Here is a 24,980-nt window from a genome sequence, read left to right as displayed (position 1 = left end):
TCTATATGATATTAAGAATACAATTTTACATAAAATACCATCAGAAAGAATAAAATACTTAGGATAACTTTAACAAAAGAAATACAAAATGTAAATTGTGAAAATTACTAAAAATTGTGGAAAGAAATTAAAGATCTAAATGAATGAAAACATATCTCATATTCCTGATTTGAAAAACATTATAGTAGCATTGCCTTTATTTGCCAAATTGATACATAGATTGAACCTATCAAGACCCTGTCATGGCCCCATCAAGACTTCAGTTGGTTTCTTAGCATACACTCACAAGCTGATTCTAAAATTCATATAGATATATAAGAAATCTAAATATAACCAAAGCCATTTTGGCAAAAAAGAACAAAGCTAGAAAACATAAAACAAATCTACAGTAATCAAGACAGTAGGGTACAGGTATACAGTGAGACACATGCACCATTTGAAAAGACTTCAGAATCCAGAAATACAGCCACACATAGGGTCAACTGATTTTTGACAAGAATGTCATTGTATAGACAATGATGAAAGTATAGCCTCTTTAACAAATGCCAATGAGCAAACTGATTATTTATGTGCAACAGAATGAAATTGAACTTCTTCCCTCAAACCATACACAAAAATGAACTCAAACTATATCAAAACCTAAATATAAGAGCTAGAATTATAAAAATTTTAGGAGAAAGAATATGAGTATAACTTTGTAACCTTGAATGTGTCAAGGTTTTTAGATATGACACCAAAAACAGAAGAGACAAAATTAAAATTGATAAATTGGACTACATCAAAATCAAAACTTTTGCACATCAAATAACACGTGGCACAATCTCTGCTTATTGCAGCCTAGACCTCCTGGGCTCAAGGAATCCTCCCACCTCAGCTTCCCAAGTAGCTGGGACTACAGCCACGCACCACCATTCATGGCTAATTTTTGTTTTTTGTTTTTGTTTTTGTTTTTGTTTTTGTTTTTGTTTTTGTTTTTGTTTTTGTAGAGACAGGATTTCACCATGTTGCCCAGGCTGGTCTTGAACCACTGGGCTCAAGTGATCTACCTGCCTTAGCCTCCCAAAGTACTTGGACTATGGGTGTGAACCACCATGCCCCTCCATTGAATTGTCACTTTTAATATGTAAATTGTTATTATATATGTATAATAATACATATATAATATGTAAATTGTATGTGTACAAATTTTTTACACACAGAATGAATCTTGAACCATGATATCGAATAACTGCTGATTCAGCTGTATAATTACTTTATTTCCAGTTCTGTGTCAAGAAGACTGCAGGCAAGGAAGCTGCACACTTCCCACTGGTCTTGCCACTTAAAATCCTCTTACATGACTTAGGTTTCTAGCATATTCAAGTTTAACTTCTACTGGGGGGTAAACCACTTTTAACAATTTAAGAGACATTAACATGCTCTTGTAAGCATGAGGCCATCTACCTTTTCTTTATCCATTTGCCATCCAAAAACTGTGATTGTTCATATAATGTATTTACTTTGACATTGCTATGGTTTGAATGTATTCCTTCCAAAATTCAGGTGTTGCCAATGGGACAGATTAAGACTAGGGGCCTCAGAGAAGTGATACTGCATTCCTTGTGAATTTTAATGGCGGTCCATATAAAAGAGCTTCATGGCAGTGCGCGGTGGCTCACACCTGTAATCCCAGCATTTTGGGGGTGGGTGGATCACCTGAGGTCAGGAGTTCGAGACCAGCCTGGCCAATATGGTGAAACCCCATCTCTACTAAAAATACAAAAAAAAATAGCTGGGCATGGTCGTGGGCACCTGTAATCCTAGCTACTCAGAAGACTGAGGCAGGGGAATCACCTGAACCTGGGAGGTGGAGGTTGCAGTGAACCAAGATCGCAGCATTGCACTCCAGCCTGGGCAAGAAGAGAAAAACTACGTTACCAAAAAAAAAAAAAGAAAAAAGTCTTCATGCAGCATTCAGCGGGCTTGCTATTCTGCTTTTCTACCATGTGAGGCTGCAGTGTTGGTTACTTTTGCCCTTCCACTTTCCACCATGTGAGGATGCAGCAAAAAGGCCCTCTGTAGATGCTAGTACCTTGGTCTTGCATTTCTCTGCCTCCCGAACTGTGAGAGATCAATTTCTGTTTTTTGCAAACTATCCAGACTCTGGTATCTTGTTGTAACCAGAAAAACTGTTAAATACAGATGTGAAAAGGTTTTATTTTAAGTTCTTGATGATTTCTCCTTAGATATAAGCAACAGCAATGGCATAGAGAAGAGTAGTTCAAAGAGATGCATTGCATTTAACCAGAGTGTCTATGAAATGGACTTTGGTTTTGCTCCCCCTACAGTTGAGTTGAGTTGTTACTTTAGCTAGTGGAGTTGTGGGAAGGTGCTGGTGGAAGAAAGACATTGGTCAATGTTAAGTGAGCACTGGATGAATTTGTCCAGAAAGGTCATGAGGTGACTGTCCTAGAGCTTTATCTTTCATTTTCTTTGATCTTGACAAACCATCTAGTATTAAATTTAAACTTTTTCTACATATTGCACTACTAAAGACAAATTGTAGAAAGTTTTTACAGGATCAATCAATGCACAGATAAAAGGTGTGCCCAAAGATACATTTGAACGTATTTTCCACTACTGCAGAAAAACTCATGGGCATATGCTTGATTAAAAAAAACAAAACAAAACAAAACAAAACAAAACATCCAACACAGACACACACACACACAAAACCTCAGCTGAATTAAATGTAAAGGAGTTTAGTTGAACAATAAATATTTCACGATTCAGGCAGCTCCCAGAATCACAGCAGATTCACAGAGACTCTAGCACAGCCACATCATGGAAAAAGATTTTTAGATCCAAAAAGGGAAATGATGTACAGAAATTGGAAGTCAGGTACAGAATGGCTGGACTGGTTAAAGGTTGAACACTCAGCAGCGTATGAATGATTGAAGTGTGGCCTCTGGGATTGACAAGACTCAGTTATTTTTATAGGTGCATATTCCTAAGTTAGGTTTTTGATCTTGTCTACCTGTTAAGCTAGGTTGCAGTTTGTCCACAAGGACTCAAATATAAAAGCATGGAGTCCTTCTCAGTCTATATTTAGTTCACTTTAACAATTCCCCTTTTTGGTCATTTTCTCAATTATGAGAGATTGACCAAAACTTTAGTTATTGATGTCACTCTCACCATTGTAAATGTATTTATTTGGTCTTGAAACCCACTGGGAAACAGAGAACAGTGAGTTACTCAAAGTTAGGAAAAAGGAATGAGTAAAGGGTACATTTTTATGCTGGAACATCGTGTTTAAAGGAGAAAAACAAAACCTGGTCTGTTCTAGGATCTGTGTTTCCTTAACGTCTTAGTTTAATTGTATCACATTTAGCACAAGTGACTCTCCATTTTAGTTTGGTTTGGTCTGTTGGGGCCTAGGACAAGAGCTTAGTTCAAAATAATGGTTTCCCATAATTTTGTTAAAAAAAATTCCCCTTTTGGTCAGGTTGTCTGTTAGGTGAGAGTGTGACCAAAACATAGGGCTTAGCACCACTCTCTACCATCATTTTGGGTTTCTGGTCTCAGTACGATATTGAAAGGTTATGAGATCCTCATGGTTGCACATTTCTTTTGGCTCTTGTCATTCCAATTGAAGAGAGACCAGACTAAACTGCCAATATTCTATGCTTTTAAACTTTACCTAAAGTAACCTTACAGGTTCTCTGAAAAAGAAAAATTTAAGATAGTTCGTGGAGGAAAGAGAATTAAAAGTGGCTAAGGTCACCCAAATATCAATCAGAAAGGCTCATCCCCTAAGCTAGGGATTAAACCCTGAATCTAGGCTGCCATTGTGAATAGAGAAACATGGCCACATGGTTACAAGGTCAAGCTCCCAAGGACCTAACTGACCAGTGTGCTAAGCCACCTTGTACAGCAGGCTTAGAAGGTTTTAGGCATGCATTTTTTCCTAAGGTACCCATCTTTATGAAAGAATAATACAGAAAGACACAAAAAGCACACCAGATTCACTACAGCTTAAGACCAACCTCAGAATTCTTTTTTTTTGTATTAATTAAAACGTCACAGAGGAGATAAACAGTGATTTTTACCATTCATTTAACCAGTTTGCACAGAGAAAAAGAGGGAGAATAGCCAGAAATCTGACTGCTAATAAATTATTATTACCCTTTTGCCAGTGATACAGGAGTTATTAAGAAATCATTTTTAGGAAGATAGTAAGGGTAAAGGTTCTCAGTGGAAACTTTCCTTTAATAAGAAACAACTCTCAGGCCAGGCACGATGGCTCACGCCTATAATCCCAGCACTTTGGGAGGCCGAGACGGGTGGATCACAAGGTCAGGATTTTGAGACCAACCTGGCCAATACGGTGAAACCCCGTCTCTACCAAAAATACAAAAATTAGCCTGACATGGTGGCAGGCAACTATAGTCCCAGGTACTGTGGAGGCTGAGGCAGGAGAATCTCTTGAACCCCAGAGGTGGAAGTTGCAGTGAGCCAAGATCGGGCCACTGCACTACTACACCCTGGGAGACAGAGCGAAAATCCTCCAAAAACGGACAAACAAACAAAAAACAAACAAAAAAAACCCAAACAACCCCCAAACTATCTCTTTCCTTTTTTCTTTTTTTTTGACACAAAGTCTCACTCTGTCACCCAGGATGGAGTGCAGTAGCACTATCTCCACCTCCCGGCTCCAAGCTATTCTTCTGCCTTAGCCACCTGAGTAGCTGGGACTACAGGTGCTTGCCGCCATACCCACCTAATTTTTGTGTTTTTAGTAGAGACGGGGTTTCATCATCTTGGCCAGGCTGGTCTCAAACTCCTGACCTTGTGATCTGCTGTCCTCAGCCTCCCAAAGTCCTGGGATTACAGGCATAAGCCACCTCACTAGGCCAAACCATCTCTTTTCTAACAGAAAAGGTGGCTTAAGGGGCTGGGCTGGCAAGCTTTGATATGCAAATGCCAACCATTAGAAACTGGATTCACTCAACAGGGTGATTCTCATAGTCTTTTTCTTGTCACCACGTGTAGGAAGTGTCACGGCCACCTCCAGATAACACCTTGTGTTTGGAACATCATGGTGAACTGCATTTGCATATTAAAGCCCTACGGTGGGAGGGCCAGGTTTTTCACAGGCTACATAAATGAATACCTGGTCAAACCAATCCCCTGGGCAGTATGGAAACCAGACACCACCTTTTCCAGCATCCCAACGTAAGTAGTCACATGTCCACCACACACAGGATTTTCTCTTTGTTCGAATTGCCCCTCCTTCTGTCTCTTAAGAGGTGAGCTGTTTTCTTCTTCCTTCCTTTTTTCTCACCTGTTAAACTTTTCAGTCCTTAAAAACACTCCACATTTGTCCGTGTGTTTTTATCTAAACTGGCACAAGACCAAGCACCCTGGTGTTACTCCAGTCATCAAAGCTGTGTCACCAGTATGTCAGACTTCCAGATTTTCTTTCCCTGAGTGGTCCTGGTAACCCAGCTTACCACATGATCACCCTGGGGGCCAAGCTGCATCATAAAAGAAAATTACCTTTTATCACTCTGGTCAAAGCAAAATATATGTGATAAAACACAGACATTAGCCACTCTGCATATCACCCAATATCAAACTGTCAAGACTTAAATTTGCCCCCAGATGAGCCCTTTTATCTTTAATCCAACCTCTGACTAGGAGTTTCAACAACTAGTCTCTTGGCAAGAGGGCTGCCCTGAGTAATAGAAAAGATAGGAAGGGAAAAGCAGAGACAGAAAACTACTGCCTGTAGCAGGGTGGGAAGGTAAAGAGTTCAAGGAGGCCACAGCTAGACCCACCCATTGCAGCTGACAATGAATCAAAAGTTTAGGTAGCTACTCTTCAGTCATGAGGGGATTTTTTTCCAGTGGTTCTGAGAGGTGAAGCCAGCTGGACTTCCTGGGTTGAGTAGGGACGTGGAGAACTTTTCTGTCTAGCTAAAGGGTTGTAAACACACCAATCAGCACTCTGTGTATAGCTAAAGGTTTGTAAATGCACCAATCAGCACTCTGTAAAAACGCACCAATAGGCGCTCTGTGTCTAGCTAAAGGTTTTTAAGTGCATCAATCAGCACTCTGTAAAAATGCACCAATCAGTGCCCTGTGTCTAGCTAAAGGTTTGTAAATGCACCAATCAGTACTCTGTAAAAACGCACCAATCAGTGCTCTGTGTCTAGCTAAAGGTTTGTAAACACATCAATCAGCACTCTGTAAAAACGGATCAATCAGCACTCTGTAAAATGGACCAATCAGTGCTCTGTAAAATGGACCAATCAGCAGGGTGTGGGCAGGGCCAAATAAGGGAATAAAAGCTGGCCACCTGAGCCAGCAGTGACAACCTGCTCAGGTCCCTTCCACACAGTGGAAGCTTTGTTCTTCTGCTCTTCACAGTAAATCTTGCTGCTGCTCACTCTTTGGGTCTGCATTACCTTTATGAGCTGTAACACTCACTGTGAAGGTTTGGGGCTTCACTCCTGAAGTCAGCAAGACCACGAACCCACCGGGAGGAACAAACAATTGCAGACACGCCACCTCTAAGAGCTGTAACACTCAATGCGAAGGGCTGCGGCTTCACTCCTGAAGTCAAGGGAGACCATGAACCCAATGGAAGGAAGAAACTCTGGACATATGAACATCTGAGGGAACAAACTCCGGACACACCATCTTTAAAAACTGTAACACTCACCACAAGGGTCTGTGGCTTCATTGTTGAAGTCAGTGAGACCAAGAATCCACTGGAAGGAACGAACTGTGGACACAGTTCCATCAGCTATCAAGTTTCCCGTTTTGGGGAGGAAAAAGCTCCCCGTGTCCCATGGTTTTGTACATGCCTAATCCTGTCACCCATAGCAGTCAGCAATAAATGTAAGACAGATTAATCCAACGAAAATAGCAGTTAACATCCCATAGTGTCAAACCAGTTCTCAGCCAAAAGGGACTTTACTGAGAGCCCTCATTTTTAAATGTACTTCAAGGCATTTTTGTTCATTCAGAACATTCCACTGTAAGTTACCTTTAGTAAGGGTTCGTCATTTCTGGAAGACTTTGCTGCTTCCCAGGCATCATGTATAAGCAGGAAAGAACTTAAGGATCCCATTTTTATCTGAAATATTGGCTTTACTCTCCAATTCTCTTGATTAACTTAGCCAGTGGTTTTTTTCCTACCTAAGCATGCAAGAAAAATAAAGCAAAGGGTGTAACACAAAAATCTCTGTAAATTTTCCAAGCCAAATTTTATAACCCCTGCCATATAACTGCTTAACTAGTTCCTTTCTGCCCCAGTCAGATATAAGAGGCCTCTAAGTATATCCAAGCCAGTAAATTCCCAGATCAAATCCATTTCTGTCACAGTTTCCAAACCCAGTTTGGATCAGGAATTTTTTTAAAGAAACTTGGAGAACTCAAAACACAAATCTGTGGAGTTCCAAAATCCCAGAGAGCTTAACCACAATCCCCAGCCACTCTGGAGATCAATGGACACAAGTGGGCCCTGCAAGTACTTTGCTTGTTCACTAAAAGCTCCTGGGGGTCTCTAGAAGCTCCACTTCAGATCCTGCTTCTGATGTCATCTGATAAACTAAAAACTTCAACCAAATTAAATTTAAAGAAGTTTAACTGAGCAATGAACAATTCAAGAATTGGGCAGCCCCTAGAATCACAGCAGATTCAGGGAGGCTCCAGCACAGCCACGTGGTGGAAGAAGATTTATAGACAAAAAAGGGAAATGATGTACAGAAATAGGAAGTTAGGTACACAACAGCTGGATTGGTTAGAGGTTGGCGTTGGCCTTATTTGAACAAAGTTTGAACACTTAACAGTGTATGAATGATTGAAGTATGGCCGCTGAGATTGGCCAAGACTCAGTTATTGTTACAGGCACATACTCCTAAGTTAGGTTTTCAGTTTTGTCTACCTATTAAGGTAGGTGGCAATTCATCCACAAGGACTCAAATATAAAAGTACAAAGTCCTCGGGCCATATTTAGTTCACTTTAGCATGCTGATTGTTATGAAAATCTTCGTAAAAATTTGGTTTTGAACAAGAAACTTATGAAAAAACTACAAAAGTCATTGTTTGATGTACTTCTTGCACATGCCATCAGTCCCTGTGGTGAGATGCTGGCTGAGCTACTTAAATCATCCTTTCTTTACAGTTTCTGCCTCTTTCCTGGTTACGTATTGGAGAAGTACAGTGGAGGACTGCAATTCCCTCCTTTCCACATGCCTGTTGTTCTGTCAGAATTAGGGAACCAAGTGTAACATATATGGAGAACGCAAAATGTATATGTAATTTATTTTGACTTTTGGTTCCAAACATTTAATGAGAAGAAGTGGGATCAGTTTTACAGTAAAGAACTATGTATGTTCTTAATTGATAGTATAAAGTTCTAACTTTCACGATGCCTTTGAAGATAAAGTTATATAAATATAAAATCAGAAAATTGTGTTTTATAGGCGAAATGATGAAATAAAAAGACAAAATGATTATTTTCCAAACATTATGGAACGGCTGATGTTATATGATCCATTAGAATCCTGTGGCCATCACTCACACAGGACACTCTAGAACGTTATACAACTATGAATTGAAGCAATATGGATGTCTGTGAGCAATTAGATATACAATTTACCATACATTTATTTTCATCTCATAAAAATTCAGCAGACATCTCCCTAATTTTTTGATAAAGATATAAATTCATGAGGGACACATATATTTGTAGCACTTCTATCTATGTAGCGCTGAGGAAACTGTTTTACCTTGTGTACCTCAGTCTCCTTATTGAAAATGAAAATATGTATTTCATATTACTTAAAGGATTATTTCACTGGTAAATAATATATTATCTCTTTCTGATACTCAAAAACCTCTAATAATAGTACAATTTGAGGTTTAGAATAGTCACACATTTTTTATTAAGTCCTAACAAATCTATCGCAAAAATAACGGATGTAAATGTAAACAATTATATTAGCTCTAGAATCAAGTAATCTTAACATCAGGAAACAGCCTTCCCAGGAGTACTCAGTCTATGTTTCTACTATTTAGCAAGCACGTCTTTGAATCTTTGTTTTTCAAGATAGCAGAAATTCAGACATTCTCTCAAAAACATTTCATTCCCTTGGGAAACCAAGGTTTAAAGACATGCTTGGAAACCAAGGTTTAAAGACATGCTTGTTAAATAGTAGAAACATAGACTGAGTACTCCTGGGAAAGCTGTTTCCTGATGTTAAGATTACTTGATTCTAGAGCTAATATAATTGTTTACATTTACATCTGTTATTTTTGCATCTTTTGAGAGAAAAACAATACATGTTCAATTCTATGGTGGGTTATTTCAATAACTATTTACGGTTGTGAATACACCTATGTAATGTTACAGACGTAGTCTCCTCTCACTGTACCTTTTATAAATATGTGTGTGTTTATGTGTGTGTATATATACATAATATAAACAACACAAATTATTCATGTAAGTTATATTATGGCTAAATAAGTATATTTGTTTTATCAATTATTAGACATTTTATACATCATTGACTGCATTATTCCAACTCCTTTTAGAAATTACAAAGTATATTCACATGAAAATTCTAGTAATATTTTGTTTTTTATTTTACTCATTCTGGGAGACCCACTACATTATCTGAGACAAAGGGGAAAGCAGAAATATGGTTCATTTGAACCCAACGGTATTTAGTACTTCCTCACCGAAACTTACCAAATTTTGATTTTGTTGAAGGGCCCTATTACAAACCTGCTAATCCCCTGTCTAAGACCAATATATTTATGTTTACTCTGCCGTGTTTCCTTTGCATTTTCAGTGAGGATGACGCTGCATTCATTCTTCAGAGTTTTGGCTTGCAGTGAGATTTGGGAAATGAGGTAAAGTAATCTGCCAATTTGAAACTCATATATTTTTATACCATCACAAATGTCTGAATTTTGTTATCATTACAGAACAAAGTGGTATGCCTTTGAGACATTAGCAATAGGGTTACTTAAACTAAGGCCTTCATTATTCAACATATAAGACAGTATAAGTCATTCCCTCAAAAACTACTTATAAAATGATTGAAATACACCAGAGGTAACTGCTGGATTTGCAGATAAACAAATTTAGGCACAGTTTCTCCTCCCATACACTTTAAGTTCTATTTGGAATGACAGAAGAAAAAAACATGCCATAAAAATTGCATGAAAAAGATTTTAAAAAGGAAAGACCACAATGCTAGGGAAATTTTCAATGGGGATAATAGAGAGTAAACCAACAACGTTGATAATAAAAGCAAAACCTGAATGATGTACAGAAATAGGTGAAGAGATGAAGGGAAAAGGAAGACATGGAAAGAAAGCAGTAGAGTAGTAATGACAGGTTAGTTCCCAACACTCCAAGTTTTGTCTGGCAGGAAGAAGTTGAATACAGAGGTAGATTTCTCTAGAGAGGTAATTTGGAGTCAGATATTCCGCCAAGGGCGTTGGAGAGCCAGAGAAAAAAGTTGAGCTAGGAAGGTATATTATTAAACTTCCTTAAAGAAGAAGGAAGAAAAACCATTTAAGATGCAGTGCCTAGATTGACTTGCAGAAGGGGCAAACCTATGGAAAGAAGAAGCATTTAAGACATGCAAAATGTACACCGTCCGTTGCAATAAGATAAAAAGGATGAAATGCTGAAATTGTCTTTCAAGGATTGAAACTCTTCACCAGCATTCTAACTTAAAAGGTACACTAGTTCTCAACAGTGTAAATGTGTTGCCCTACCAATAATTGCAGCCATATCCAATGTTGACTTGCCCTCACCCCATAATTAAATTATCGTCCGAGATCACAGAGTTGTACATCTTATAGAATAAAAGTGATGGTTTACCTTATCAGAGCTGGTGATTTATGCTATATGCCAAACCTATAAAACACTTCAGTAAAGCTTCCTTGGAAAATGTGGGTCTTGACATCATACCTGCCTGACAGGGAAACACAGAGAAAATGTACACTGCATAAATTATAAAGATCAAATAATTTTACCACTTGTATCTGAAAACTGTCCTGAGTTTCAAATTCCAAAATAATTCTGTCAGCATATAGGATAATATTTCTTAGAAAGGAACATAAGAAAATAAATTTAAATATTTCAAATTCATATCACATTTTTAAGATATGTAGAAATCAATAAATCTTTACTATCCTGTTATATGATCTTCTAAAAAATTCTTTTGGTCTACCTGTATATTAGCAGTGACATAAAACTGAAATGTTTTTAAATTGTTGAAATCTTGTATCTATTTTGACTGTATACTGTTTAGGCTATGTATGGTATGATGACTTTCACTGGTCCAAAGTCTGAGGTTGTATTAGTGAATGTTCTATGTAATATATCCTTATACTTGAATGATTTCCCAATTCATACAAAGGGAAAATGACGGTGCCAGTAGGAGGAGCAGAAAGAGGTTGAGGAAAAAGAAGGTAAGGAGAAGGATGAATAGCACTTTAATGATGATAAATAGTTGAACCCAAGTCAAAGATTGTGAAGTCTGTCTTCTTATTCTATGTTAAAAATATTTTTGCATGTCAAAATTACTTGCTTTTCCATTAAACATTCAATGCTCAGATAATTTTTTCCTTTCTTATAAAAGAAAATGGCATTTGGCAAATTGCATCTAGAGTGTTAAAAATACTTATACTTTTTGGATATATAAGATATCATATAAAACTATACAGAGAAAAAAGAGAAGCAAAATTAACACTTATAGCAGTTATTTACAAAAATAAACATTGGAAGTATCCTAAATACCCAATATTAAGAAATAATAAATAGCATATACATATCACAATATTACAATTGTTTTATCAAAGTATCTTTGATAACACTAAAACAGCCATTATCGATGTTTAATTGGAAACAGAGCAGCAAAGAAAATAAATATAAGATCACCTTGTTCTTGTAGAATAATACAAGAAATATATGGTGGGTTACAATTTTCTAAATGTATACAAAATAATATACATTTAGTTATAGGAATAAAGACTAGAATAAAAGCATAAAGTGTTAAACAGGGTATCTGTGTATGGAGTGACTCTTACTTTTTCATTCTCTTTCAATTTTCTTACAACACGCTTGCATAATTTTCATAAGGATATCACAGAAAGAGAATGAACTTTCCATGTTAGTTATTAACCTTCAAACAGAGATGACATACTGCAACACTGTAAGTTCCACCCCTAAAAGGTTTTAGGCAGGAAACCATTGAGATGAAACGTTGAACACAGGTTACTTTATATGTTGCCACAAGTAACTGGAATCATACAGAATACTTGTTTTATGTGGTTGATATAATTAGTATAGTGACCTTCATTTTGAAACTAATGTCATAAGGTTAAAGTCACACTTTTGAAGAATGCTCTGGACAATACATATTTGGCACAGTGAAAGGCTGAATGGTTTTTCCTTTTATCTTTTTCCTTTGAAAAATTGTTTTTAAAGTAAGCTTTACATCCATGATTTATATCAGAAAGTACACTTTTTATGTTCAAAGGGTTTGATCATTATTTTACAGAAAGTAAAGTTAAATGGTGAATGTAAAACACAAGGAATAACAAAAAAGTGAGTATACAGTTTTGACAGGAGAACAAGGAAACTTTGGCTTCTCCATATTTCTTTTTTGGTGGGAAAGTACATCAAGTAACATGGGAATTACTCGTTTACAGAAAGAAATTGAATTTTAAAACTCGTAAGTAGAAGGGATCACAAGTAAGAATAATTCTCAAACAAATCCAGGAAAACAAGTCTTTAGCAGGAGTTTTCTGAAGCGTGAAGTGAGCTGCTCAAGAGAGTGACCGGATCTTTTCTGGAGAAAAGCCTGGTGGACCTCTCCCACTGAAGTGTGCATGTGCATCCTCCGCATAGGACATGGTGAGGTGATGATGAGAGTCCCTCGAAGCCAGTTGTACATAACACATTCCATGAGGGTGCCAATTTTACAGTAAGATATCAGAGTAACAGGTGTCACCCATAAACAAACCCAGAAATATGTAACTATACATGTTTACTTATGGATTATCAGTAGGATTTTGAGGATGAGTTCACAGAAATTCAAAACCATACACCAGTCAAAACCATGCACCAGGCTTCGGGATGTCAGCAATTCTTACCTTATGTGATGAAGGAGTGATTTAGAAGGAAGGTTTGGGAAATTCTGACAAATTTTAAGATAGGTTAGAAATAATTATACAGTTGAGAGAAATATATAATATCTTCCCAATCATAAGTGACTTTTCCTTAGTAGCATAATCAAGGAAATGAAATTATAATGACTACATTAAAGTAATGATTTAGAAAACCTCCCTGAAATAAAAACAAGTTACTTAGGAGAACAATAACAATATAAAATTAAAGAGAAGTAAACAGTGGTAGTCTTCCTAAGAATCTATATTAGTGATTACAAGAGCTTGGTTCCCATATTTTTAACTGTATCTTTCCCTCACTACTGTGTAAAGATACTAATTTATTTCTTACTTTACATACTTAATCAAATACATACACACACACACGCACATGCACACACTTACATAACTACAGATTAATAATAGAGAAAATTGATGTTGTATAACATAAGTCTTTCCAAAGGAACTGAGCGATGTCGTATTTAAAAAACTGGCACTACTAGAAGTCAGTATGGAGGTTTCTCAAAAAATGTTAAAGATAGAATTAACATGTGATACAGAAATTCCACTTCTGAATTGTATTAATAAGAATGAAAATCAGGATCTCAAAGAGATATTTGCACATCTATGTCCATAACAGCACTATTACAAAAGCTAAGAGCTGGAAACAATCCAAATGTCTATCAAGGAACAAATATATAACAACTGTAACTGCTATATGTTATATACACGAAATAAAATTTTACTCAGCCTTAAAAAAAGGAATTGTGACACATGCTACAATGTAGATGAAGCTTGATGTCATTAGACTAAGTGAATAAATCAAAAAAGACAAACACTGTAATCCACTCATATAAGGTATTTAAACTGTGAAATTCATAGAAAAAGAAAGTGATTAGTAGGTAAAAAGGAGAGCATAAAATGGAAAGTTGTTGTATATTAGGTATAGAGTTTTCATTTTAGAAGAAAAAAATTCCGAAGATTGATTGCATAGCATTGTGAATATATCTAGCATTCTCTGTGTACTTAGAAGTGGTTATGATGGAAAGTTTCATGCATGTTTTACCATAGCCACTCCGCTAACAATTCTGGCTGATACTTGATTTTTTCTACTTAGTTTCTTGTAGCAATTCTTCCAATAATGTTGGCTGTGTTATTGCTCTTTTGTGACAGAGCAAATTATTTCTTCATAGGAAATGAAAACTTTCCCAGAGATCTGGAGAAAATAGCATTGCATCGTTGTCTCTGGGGTCAATGGTCAGTAACATCACAGAGGAAAGGGTCAATGTGATTGCAACAGCCTTTGTGCACTTCTCTCCAAAGGTTAGATAAATTGCCTGAGTGATGGAAAACTACTGAAAAGAGCTTTAAACTCTGTAAAGGGTTAAAGGATAAAAATTTCCTGCCTGACAAGTTAGCTTTTCAGATAATTTGAATTCACCTCAGATGTCAGTTTAAAAACAATGTATATGACAGATAATAAAATGGTAAGAGTTTTTTTGATGAACAGTACTTTGGCATGACCATTATGATCAGAAAGGATATATAATGAAGAAGCGCAGTGTGGCATTCTGGTATTATGGTATTTGAGGCAGGTAACAGATATCACCAAATTCTGCCCTGTCATTTGATCGCTTTGCTTACAGGAATCCTGAGAGCACTCTATACACTACAAATATTATCAGAAAGGAGTTATATTGATGGCTAACTACACTAGCACAATAACAATAAGTAGGTATTGAAAAAAATCCAAAATGTATTATGGGAATTTAGACTTCCCATGTAATCTGAGCCTCTTTACTTTCCCTAATTTTGAAATAGACCTATTCAGTGTGTTGTTCAGGGGACTATTCAGAGAAAGAAAGCCCACGGCTCCCCACCTTGAGTCTAGGCACCCACTCAGCCAGGTAGATTTAGAGAAATAGAAAAACCAACCTGGCTTGATAGACTAGACATTGCCAACGTCTGAAAGGAAGGTGTAACAGAAAGGAAGGGGATTGGATCCTGCCCTTAAGGTGGACCATCAGTATAAAATGTTCCCCCAAAAGACTCCACTTCTAACCCATGTATTTACGCTATCACCCACTTGAAGAAGAAGAGGATATAAGAAAGAGTCAAGGCCAGGTATGCTGGCTCACGCCTGTAGTCCCAAGACTTTGAGAGGCTGAAGTCGAAGCATTCTTGAGCCCAGGAATTTGAGACCAGCCTGGGCAACATACAGAGACCCTGTCTCTACAAAAAGTAATAATAATAATAAATAGAAGTGTGCAGAGGTGCATGCCTGTAGTCTTAGCTATTCTCGAGGCTGAGGCAGGAGGATTGATGGAGTCCAGGAGTTTAAGGTTACACTGAGCTATGATCACACTCCTGCACTCCAACCAGAAAGGCAGAGTGAGACTGTTCCAAATAAAAAAAAAAAGTAAGAAGAAGAAGAAGAAAGAGAGGAAAAATCAAGCAAGGAGAGAAGCTCAGATGCTCCAACCCCTAAAATATAGTAATAACTAACTTTCTAATATGTACAACAAAACTATGATCTTTGAATACTTATGAAATACTCTTTATTTTTATATTCTATATAGCTTTTTGTAATTACCTATACTATTTTTTGTCTGCAAACCTGAAGTTATTTTTAACACTCGCATAAAAAATGAATTTTAAAACTTGTAAATTATACACTAGTTTATGAAGATTTCCTGGTAATTCCAAAATCAGTACCTCATTTTGTTACTAGGAATATACCAAATGGCTTAGCTATAGACAACCACATTAAACACTGCTTTCAATGCTTTGGACTATGTCATCAAAGACTTAACAGTCTTTGAATAAAATTTAGCATCATTGCATTTTAGAAATTTTTTCAGCAGTATTATTATTTATAAGATGCCAATCATTCTTACCCAAATCTAAAAATGTCTATGCTAACAGATGTAATAATATTATGGATATATGTGAAAAATGCCACTTGAATTTTTTCTCTTTATATGTAATTCCTAAGCAGAATTAATTTATTTCTCATACAGAGAGGATTGCATAGATTTGCTTTCTTTGTAAATCAAAGGATGTCAGACTCTAACTATGGAACAAGTGAAGATAAGTAAACTGTCTCCCATTTCATTATTTTAAAAATCAAAAAGCTTAATAATAAATTTGGAAGATGACAGTAAGTATAGTACACACATTAATTTTAAAAGTGTGGACCATTATGAATTTGTTACTCTTCTTCACACTAGAATTATGACTAACAATTAAATACTTGAATTTTTCATTTATTATCTCAATTGTTTAAGTCACTATGTATGAAATATTATGATTGCATTTAAACTGACTTAATGTAAAAATAAGTCCAGGAAATATAGTTGTTCTATTTACTTCAGACTTCCAGTAGTTCTCATTAATTAACCTGTCTTATCCTCATCTCTTTGTGTGCTATGTAGAAGACATTTAGCAGGGATCTCAGTCTTTAGAATTCTAACAAATATGCTTTAATTTGAATTTGACTCAGAATAAAGTATTTTCTTTATATAAATTATTACATGGAAATTTGATGACAGGAAATCAGATACCTTTGTACCAATACTTCGCTGTGTAGTGGGTAGTCCAGAATGGCCTTGGTGAGACTTTGAAAACAAATATTGAAAACATGGCTAACAGCCAATCCTGATGAAAATACTTCAACAGAAAACAAACAGACTCACCATTTATTATTTAAAAACTCAAAAATAAAATCTAACATGTTTATATTTATGTTCCAGTCCTGGGGAAAATTACAATAAACTACAACAGTTACCATTTTTTTATACACAGTTACATTCTTTATGGCCAGAAACAAATTATCTTTATTTCTATTTCAACTGTAGTTACCTCTTCAACAATAAAAGTTCAATAATTTTCTAGGTTGTCTGTCTCCTAATTCAATCATTACAAACACCCTTTCTCCCTATGTAGGGATATTTCAATTGCAACTGAAAAATAGCAGCACATCTATTATTTCCAGCGACTGCATTTTCTTTGGGAAAAAATTCCCAGTCTTTATCATGAAGTGGTAACACATTTCATACTGGAGTGTCGCCTATACTTCTCTTTGGTGGTTTTAGTGGAAATATTTATCAGAGGTTCTAGGCTAGTGCATAAGTTTTAAAATAGTCAAAAATGAAATAAAAGGAATTGCTGAAGATGGAACAACAAATTATAAGGAAGACTGAGAACAAAGTTGAAGCAGGGAAGCATAAATATTATTAGAGTATTAACTAATTTTCAGCATGTTTATGCCAGTGTTTCAGCATGAGAGTTCATCAAATGTTAGTTTTCTGGATAAATTTTATTTGGTATATTTAAAGTTACGAGGTGATATTATCAGATACAAATAGATAGTGAAAAAGTTACTATAATGAAGCAGGTAAGCATGTCAATCATCTCACATTAGTTACTCAATATTTTATTGATTTTAAAACTCTCCCAAAATGCTTTATTTTCAGTAAATTGGCATGACATAAACAATCGCTAGTTCCTCTTCTATTTAATTATAAGGATATAATTTTGACGCTAATATTTTTAATCCCATCACTGATGAAGTGTAGACCACTACGCCTTTCAAATTTACCTGTTTAAAACAATTGAAAAAATAAGATACTAGTATAAATGTGACCATACTCTTTGCTATTGTAGTTGTGGTTGCTTTTGTCTTATTTGAAATAATTATAAAATAATGAACTTGAAAGGGATAAATTGGAATATTTCTGGTTAACAGCCAAAGTGTCTGAAACCAGAAATTTGTTGTTTTTAAATTATCTTAGTACACACAATAATTTTAGTTATGCTATTTTATCAATAGTTATATTAATAAAAATTAAATAATTTTAATATTTACTATTATGTTTTTAATATTAATTTTAATGAACTCATTCTGGTGTTGAAAAAGAAAGATAATTTTTGAATAGTTAACACATATTGAATGTATATGAAATGACTTGCATCGTATTGTTTCTTTGTACTATGTAACTTCTTGATTATAGTTTTTTGCAATTGTATTAAAAACATAAATCAAGATTAATGTCACCATCTGAAAAGCACAATCTTCCTACTGTGATTTTTAAACAACAAGAGCAGAAGTTACCTCCATTGCTATTGCTACAGTGCTATGCATTAGCACTTCATAGTTTTAACTTGGTAAGCATATACTTATATCCATCCTTATTATTTTTCTATTAGTCCATAATTACTTCAACACTAAATGCCTCAAAGCATTCAATACAATGCCTCAAAGTAAAATGTTGACACTTCTTAAATTCTAAAACCAAAATACAAGAAAAAACAGTAATAGTAGCAAACATTTACTGAGAATCTCTTTATGATGAGAATAATTTTACCAAATATTCTAAGAATCATTGCATGGCTACTCACAATAACCAGATAAGAAAGATATACAGTTCTTATTCATTCAATTTAACAATAAAATCTAGGAAGAGATGTGCTTTTTTTACTTATAGTCAGTATATATATATAATTGAGTAGAGTATGTTTTTCAGTATTTTATTATAAAATTTACATACAATGAAATACATATATCTTCACTACACATTTTTTGAGTTTCAACAAATGCTTACACCTCTGTAAACCCAAACCCCCTAAGACATTATTATCACCACAAAAATGTCCTTTCATGCCTCTTCCCAGCCCAACTCAGCCCTTGCTTCCCAGAAGAGATTGTTTTAGAACATCTTATATATGAAATTATGCATGCAGTAGGTACTCTTTTGTGGCTAGTTTCCACTCAGCCTAACATGTTTTGGATTCATCTGTATTATTGCATGTCACAGATGTATATGAGTACACTGCATATTCTGCACCTCCGTTTGTTTATTCATTCTCCAATCGATGGATACTTGGATTGTTTCTACAGTGTCTTGTGAGTGGGAGATTTTGCGGTTGTCATTTGTTTGTTTATGAAGTCTAATTTATTATTTTATTATTTTTTCTTTTATGGTTTTTCTGTAACCTAAGAAAGCTTTGCCTGCTGCCAAGTAATCAAGGGAGATGGCTCCTGTTTTCCTCTAAAAGCTTTATGTTTGGGTTTGGCAATCCTTTTGTTTTGTTTTGAAACAAGGTCTTTCTCTGTTGCCCAGGCTGAAATGCAGTGGTGACATTGAGGCTTACAGTAACCTCCATCTCCTAGGCTCAAGGGATCCTCTCACCTCAGCCTGCTGAGTAGCTAGGACTACAGGAGCACTACCACACCAGGCCAATTTTTTAAAAAGTTTTTTGTAGAGACAATTTTTTTTTTTTAAATTATACTTTAAGTTCTGGGATACATGTGCAGAACGTGCAGGTTGGTTACATAGGTATACATGTGCCATGGTGGTTTCCTGCACCCATCAACCCGTCATCTACATTAGATATTTCTCCTAATGCTATTTCTCCCCTACCTCCCCACCCCCTGACAGGCCCCAGTGTGTGACGTTCCCCTCCCTGTGTCCATGTGTACTCAATGTTCAACTCCCACTTATGAGTGAGAACATGCGGTGTTTTATTTTCTGTTCTTGTGTTAGCTTGCTGAGAATGGTGGTTTCCAGCTTCATCCATGTGCCTGCAAATGACGTGAGCTCAGCCTTTTTTTATGGCTGCATAGTATTCCATGGTATATATGTGCCACTTTATGCAACCTATCATTGATGGAAATTTGGGTTGGTTCCAAGTCTATGCTGTTGTAAACAATGCCACAATAAACATATGTGTGCATGTGTCTTCATAGTAGAATGATTTATAATCTTTTGGGTATATACCCAGTAATGAGATTGCTGGGTCAAATGGTATTTCTTGTTCTAGATCCTTGAGGAATCACCACACTGTCTTCCACAATGGTAGAACTAATTTACACTCCCACCAACAGTGTAAAAGCATTCCTATTTCTCCACATCCTCTCCAGCATCTGTTGTATCCTGACTTTTTAATGATCACCATTCTAACTGTCATGAGATGGTATCTCATTGTGGTTTTGATCTGCATTTCTCTAATGACCAGTGATGTTGGTCATTAGAGAAAGATACATGCACTTTATTTTTCACAACACTTATTTTAAAAAGAACCCATAGAATGAATCCTATACATAAATTTCAGTTGCATCCATTGGATGGAATAATATGTGACCATTGAAGGTGGCAATAGATACAGAAGTACGTGGATGTGAAAAGATGTATTTTGTTATAGCTAGTGAGGAAAAAAATCAGTTAAATTATACATACACACAAACATACTATGGTCTTGTTTTAGCAAAAAATATGTATAAAATATTAAATTTGTAATTTCTGAGCATTTGAATTTTAAGTAGTTTTTTTCCTTTTTCTTATCTGTGATTGCTGCAGTGAGCATGTACAAAACTTTTAGTAAAAGTTTATTATTAATGGAATAATCCTTGGGAGGAGAGGAATATGAATCTTGCACTGATAAAAATAATTTCTTGCTTCCTATTTTTTATCATTATTGTGTGTATTGTTATCTTCTTTGAACTTTTAGTCTCTTCAGAAGTAAAAAGGGAATGTTTTTATGTTTCCAGATTTTATTTTCTATATATTTTATTATGTACATGTTTTTCTTATATATTCATTCAATTTTTTATGCAAACAATGATAGATTAATCATTTCATTTTAATTGTATTCTTTAAAAATAAACATAACACATATAAATAATTACTATTGCAAAAATATTGCCTTATAGGAGTTCATTTAAAAATATTGAACTCCCCAACTGTATTTATCCATTCTTTCATTCCACTTATTCATCAAACCTAACCTGAGTACCTATTATGTAGCAGACATACTCTACTATCTTTCAGGACCCTTCTATCCTTAAAAACTTCATGTTTACCTGCCCTGCCTGCACAAGCTGAGAGATTTAAAATAGGAATATTGGGACTTAATCTCCTTGAAACTTTATCTCCCACCTTTCAAACAAAAGTATTTCTGAAGTTAGAAAACAGTAGACTATAACCTTTAACTGCCCTTTCAAAAGTTTATCAGTCTTAAATACTACTATTTATCATTGGAAAGGCGGATTTGCATATATTCTGTAAGTATGATTATTGAATAAAATGAGCCATATGTATTCATTTGAAAAAAAAAATTCTGCATTGCTTGAAACTTACTTTAAAAATAGGAAGTAAGAATCAAAAAATTAATGACCAATTATTTATTTAATTAAAATTAAAGTAACAAACTATACATTTTAAATTTTTGTTAAACTTATTAGCTGTTAAACAGTAATTCAATTTTTCCCTCATGAAATTCCTTATTTTACTTTGTCATAATCTTACCATGAAGATCACTCTGGCATATCCAAACATAGAGCTGAGTATTGGCACCTAATGTAGTTGGTTTCTTTCCTTTGAATCTCCATAAAACCTGAGGAAGAAAATGTATGCATTTCACAAGTTAAACCACAATATAATAGCATTTTGAGTTTTCAGAGCATTATAATTCATACAATCCATTCTATTTCAGATGATATTTGAGACAGGGATATATAAGGGTCCTTTGTAATCACTGAAAGAAATAGTAGGATTGTTCACAGTCAAAAGGGTGTACACTATTCAAGTATACCATTTATTATTTTGTTTACTGCAAACTCAAAGCATCTAGGAGATTATATAAATAACAACAAATAAGCAGTCTTGGCTAATTTGTCAGCATATGGAAGTTAAATATCCTTGTGGACACACAACTGCTGTGTAAATGTAAATCACTTGGCCATTCTAGCTCTATTATCAAATTTACAGTTTCCCAGAGACAAACATTGCTTTGGCTTTTGTCTGGTTTTGGATAGTTGGTTGTCTTTTCTCTTTATGCTTCATTCTCTCCTTTATTTCATTTATTTTTAATCAAAAAAGAAAGAGACAGAAGTTACCTATACTTCATTGTTCAAGGCTGAATTTTGTTTGTATTTGTACCTTAATTCCATACTTTTTTCTTTCTGGAAACCTATATGAAAATCTTACACTTGAAAACAAAGGATTACATAGATATTCTGAACTCCCAAAAAGAGAATCTCATAATCAAAACTAATTTCACATTCCTAATTAGCATACTGGCTTTTATTGAGTGTTTTGAAATTTAAACATAAAATTTTAAAAAGTAACCCTTGAGGCTAGTGTATAAATAGCACTAACTAAAGAGAGGAAAACTAGAATTACAGTAATAAAATTAATTGAATATCATAAAGTATTACATGCAGGTTGTTAGACTGTAATATTAAAATCATAATTGCCTTGTAACTATAGAAAACTCCAGTTCATTAGAAAGACTACATAAATCTAAGCTTCTACTTTTATGTTCAAACACACTGAATAGAGCTCCTATACAATAAAATATGTTGAAGATAATATTGAGCATGATTCTTCTCTATCTTTCTTATATCATCCCCCAAAGTTTAGGTTCCTTTGAGCTAGTATACTTAAGAAGTTTCCTTTGGAGTCATCAGAATAGGTCTTAAGATTTCAAATCCTGCAACGTGAAATAGGGACTTAATGCTTTATTTTTACTTTATTATTAACAAACGACAACCAAGAGATGTGTTACTAAAGTAATAGCAAAGATCACTAGACAAATAATCAGTTGTGCTCACATAAACTACCATAATACTTTCCAAATTGTTACATAAATCTAGTGCCTGTTATGCAAATTGAAAAATGAGATTCAAGTTCCAGGTGGAAAGCCATACTTTCTCCATTGTGTGAATAGTTTCTTATAAGGATTGGAGGTTGTACTGACTTTTTGTGGAATCTGAGCCAGGGCCGAAGTGATAAGATCAGCTTTTTCTTCTGTAAGGTTTTGCACAGCTGACTCCAGAGAAAACACAACACCGTCTTCATCAGAGCTCTGGGCAAATTCTTCCATTTTCTCCAGAGAAAAAATTGTCTTCATTATAAAGATGCAATACCACATAAAATAATATAGTTTATGTATACTTTTAAAATAAAATTTTGAAGTTGTCATACATATAGCTATATTGTCCCTATATTCTGAGATGCATGTTAGAACAGAAATTATAAAGTTTGTGTTAGAAACATATAGCTTCAGTATATAATAATTATTTACTAGAAGCAGCACACAACCCGATAATTATACAGAACATTTAAGTGAGAAATGTCCAACTCATTTAATATTTGGTAGACATCAAATTCTAAAAACATAATGGTTTGCAAACTCATAAAACTATTTCAACAATATCAAGTGTCAATTTGTTGACACTTTGTGATGTCAACAAAACAATAAAATTGTAAAAACCCAACATCAATTCTCCCACAAAAGTATAACTAGTAGCTATCCAAATACACAAATGCCACTCTGAATTCACCAGATCTCAAGAAAGAAGGAGAAAACCTCAAGACTCACGGACCTGAGAAAACTTATGATTGGTAAGATGAATAATTTTTTTGGACTGTACCACTCCCCTTCCACACACCAAAATGACACCACTGTGAGATAACTTCCTTTCACCTGCAGTTATTGAAATGGGAGGAGGAAATTTCAAGTGGACATTTAATTTCTTCATGGGTCTGTAAATTTTGGGGGAAAGCCCACATTTGTCCCACCCCACAGGAGGTATGAAGAGTGTTCAGAGGGCTGAACCACCGGGGGTAAATTGGAGACAAAAGTGAGAGTAGTAATCACAGTGAGTGGCACACAGATCTTGGCATCTGCTTTGTGTACCTAGCTACAGGGATACCACACTGAGGAGTTTGACCAGAAGGATAGCACTGCAGGGGGCAAGATCTAAAGGAAGGTCTGAATCTTTGATAAGACTTTTTACAATTCCCAGGTAATCATGTGGAGATTTTCCATGACTGGGAAACAAGTATAAGGTTTGAAATCAAGTTCCCATGATTGTTTAATTTTCTCCCAGATCTAGAAATCACTGCAAGTCTGGGTTTAAGTTCCAGTGCAGCATTTAAGTTCAGATGCTCACAATAAGTCTCCCAAGACTGGAAAACAACATTAGAGCAAATATTGAGTTTTGGTGCAGTATTAAATTCTGGTGGCAAATATTAAGTCCTTGCCCAAACAAAAAGCAACTGGTGGCAAGGAATTAGATTCCAATAATAAATAGTAAAGGTTGAACAACACAAGAATACACCTATAAAAGCTAGAACATGTGGATATCTCTTTAAACATGGAAATAGCAATGTACAGATGAAAGGAAACACAACACCGCTAAAAAACAACAGAACTCACCTAATGCAGTAGGAGAAATAAACATATATAACATTTCTGACAGAGAATTCAGAGCACATCTTTTTATAAAAGAGCTCAGGAAACACCGAAAATATAAAGTTAAAAAAAATTTGGAAAATATTTAAAGATCAACAAGAGAAAAATTGTTTTTTTAAATACAGAAATTGAAAAAGCTTCAGCTAGAATAGCTACAAAAAGAGATGACGGAAATAAATGAAATAAGAGATGAAAAGGATACATAACAACTGATACACAAAAATACAAAGGTTTATAAGAGGCTATTACAAACAAGTACCTGCCAAAAAATTAAAAAATCTAAAGTATACAGACAAATTCTTAGATATGTACAACCAATCAGGATTGGATTATGAAGAAATAGAAACATGAGCAGAGAAATAATGAGTAACAAAATTGAAGCAGTAATAAAAACTCACATAAAAATGTACTTTATTAAAAAATAGTTAAACCATTTTTCTAAAATGTTTCTTCCAAAACATGAAGGAGAATTGAATGCCTTAAAAAATAGGGTTTTATGGCTGGGATAAGGATCACATTGATACCAAAACCAGAAAGAGGGAG

At 35.1% G+C, this 24,980-nt stretch overlaps 1 annotated feature.

The window, feature by feature from the left end:
* Positions 4,656-5,395: an enhancer, noted in NCBI's record as "OCT4-NANOG hESC enhancer chr4:70333407-70334146 (GRCh37/hg19 assembly coordinates)". NCBI's record gives its function as "activates a minimal SCP1, AML or CMV promoter by ChIP-STARR-seq in naive and primed H9 embryonic stem cells {active_cell/tissue: H9 hESC(naive and primed)}" and the evidence as "EXISTENCE:reporter gene assay evidence [ECO:0000049][PMID:30033119]".

Source organism: Homo sapiens, chromosome 4, assembly GCF_000001405.40.
Source record: "Homo sapiens chromosome 4, GRCh38.p14 Primary Assembly".
NCBI lineage: Eukaryota > Metazoa > Chordata > Mammalia > Primates > Hominidae > Homo > Homo sapiens.
The sequence above is the reverse complement of the archived record's forward strand: the minus strand, read 5'-3'. Positions and strand labels throughout refer to the sequence as shown.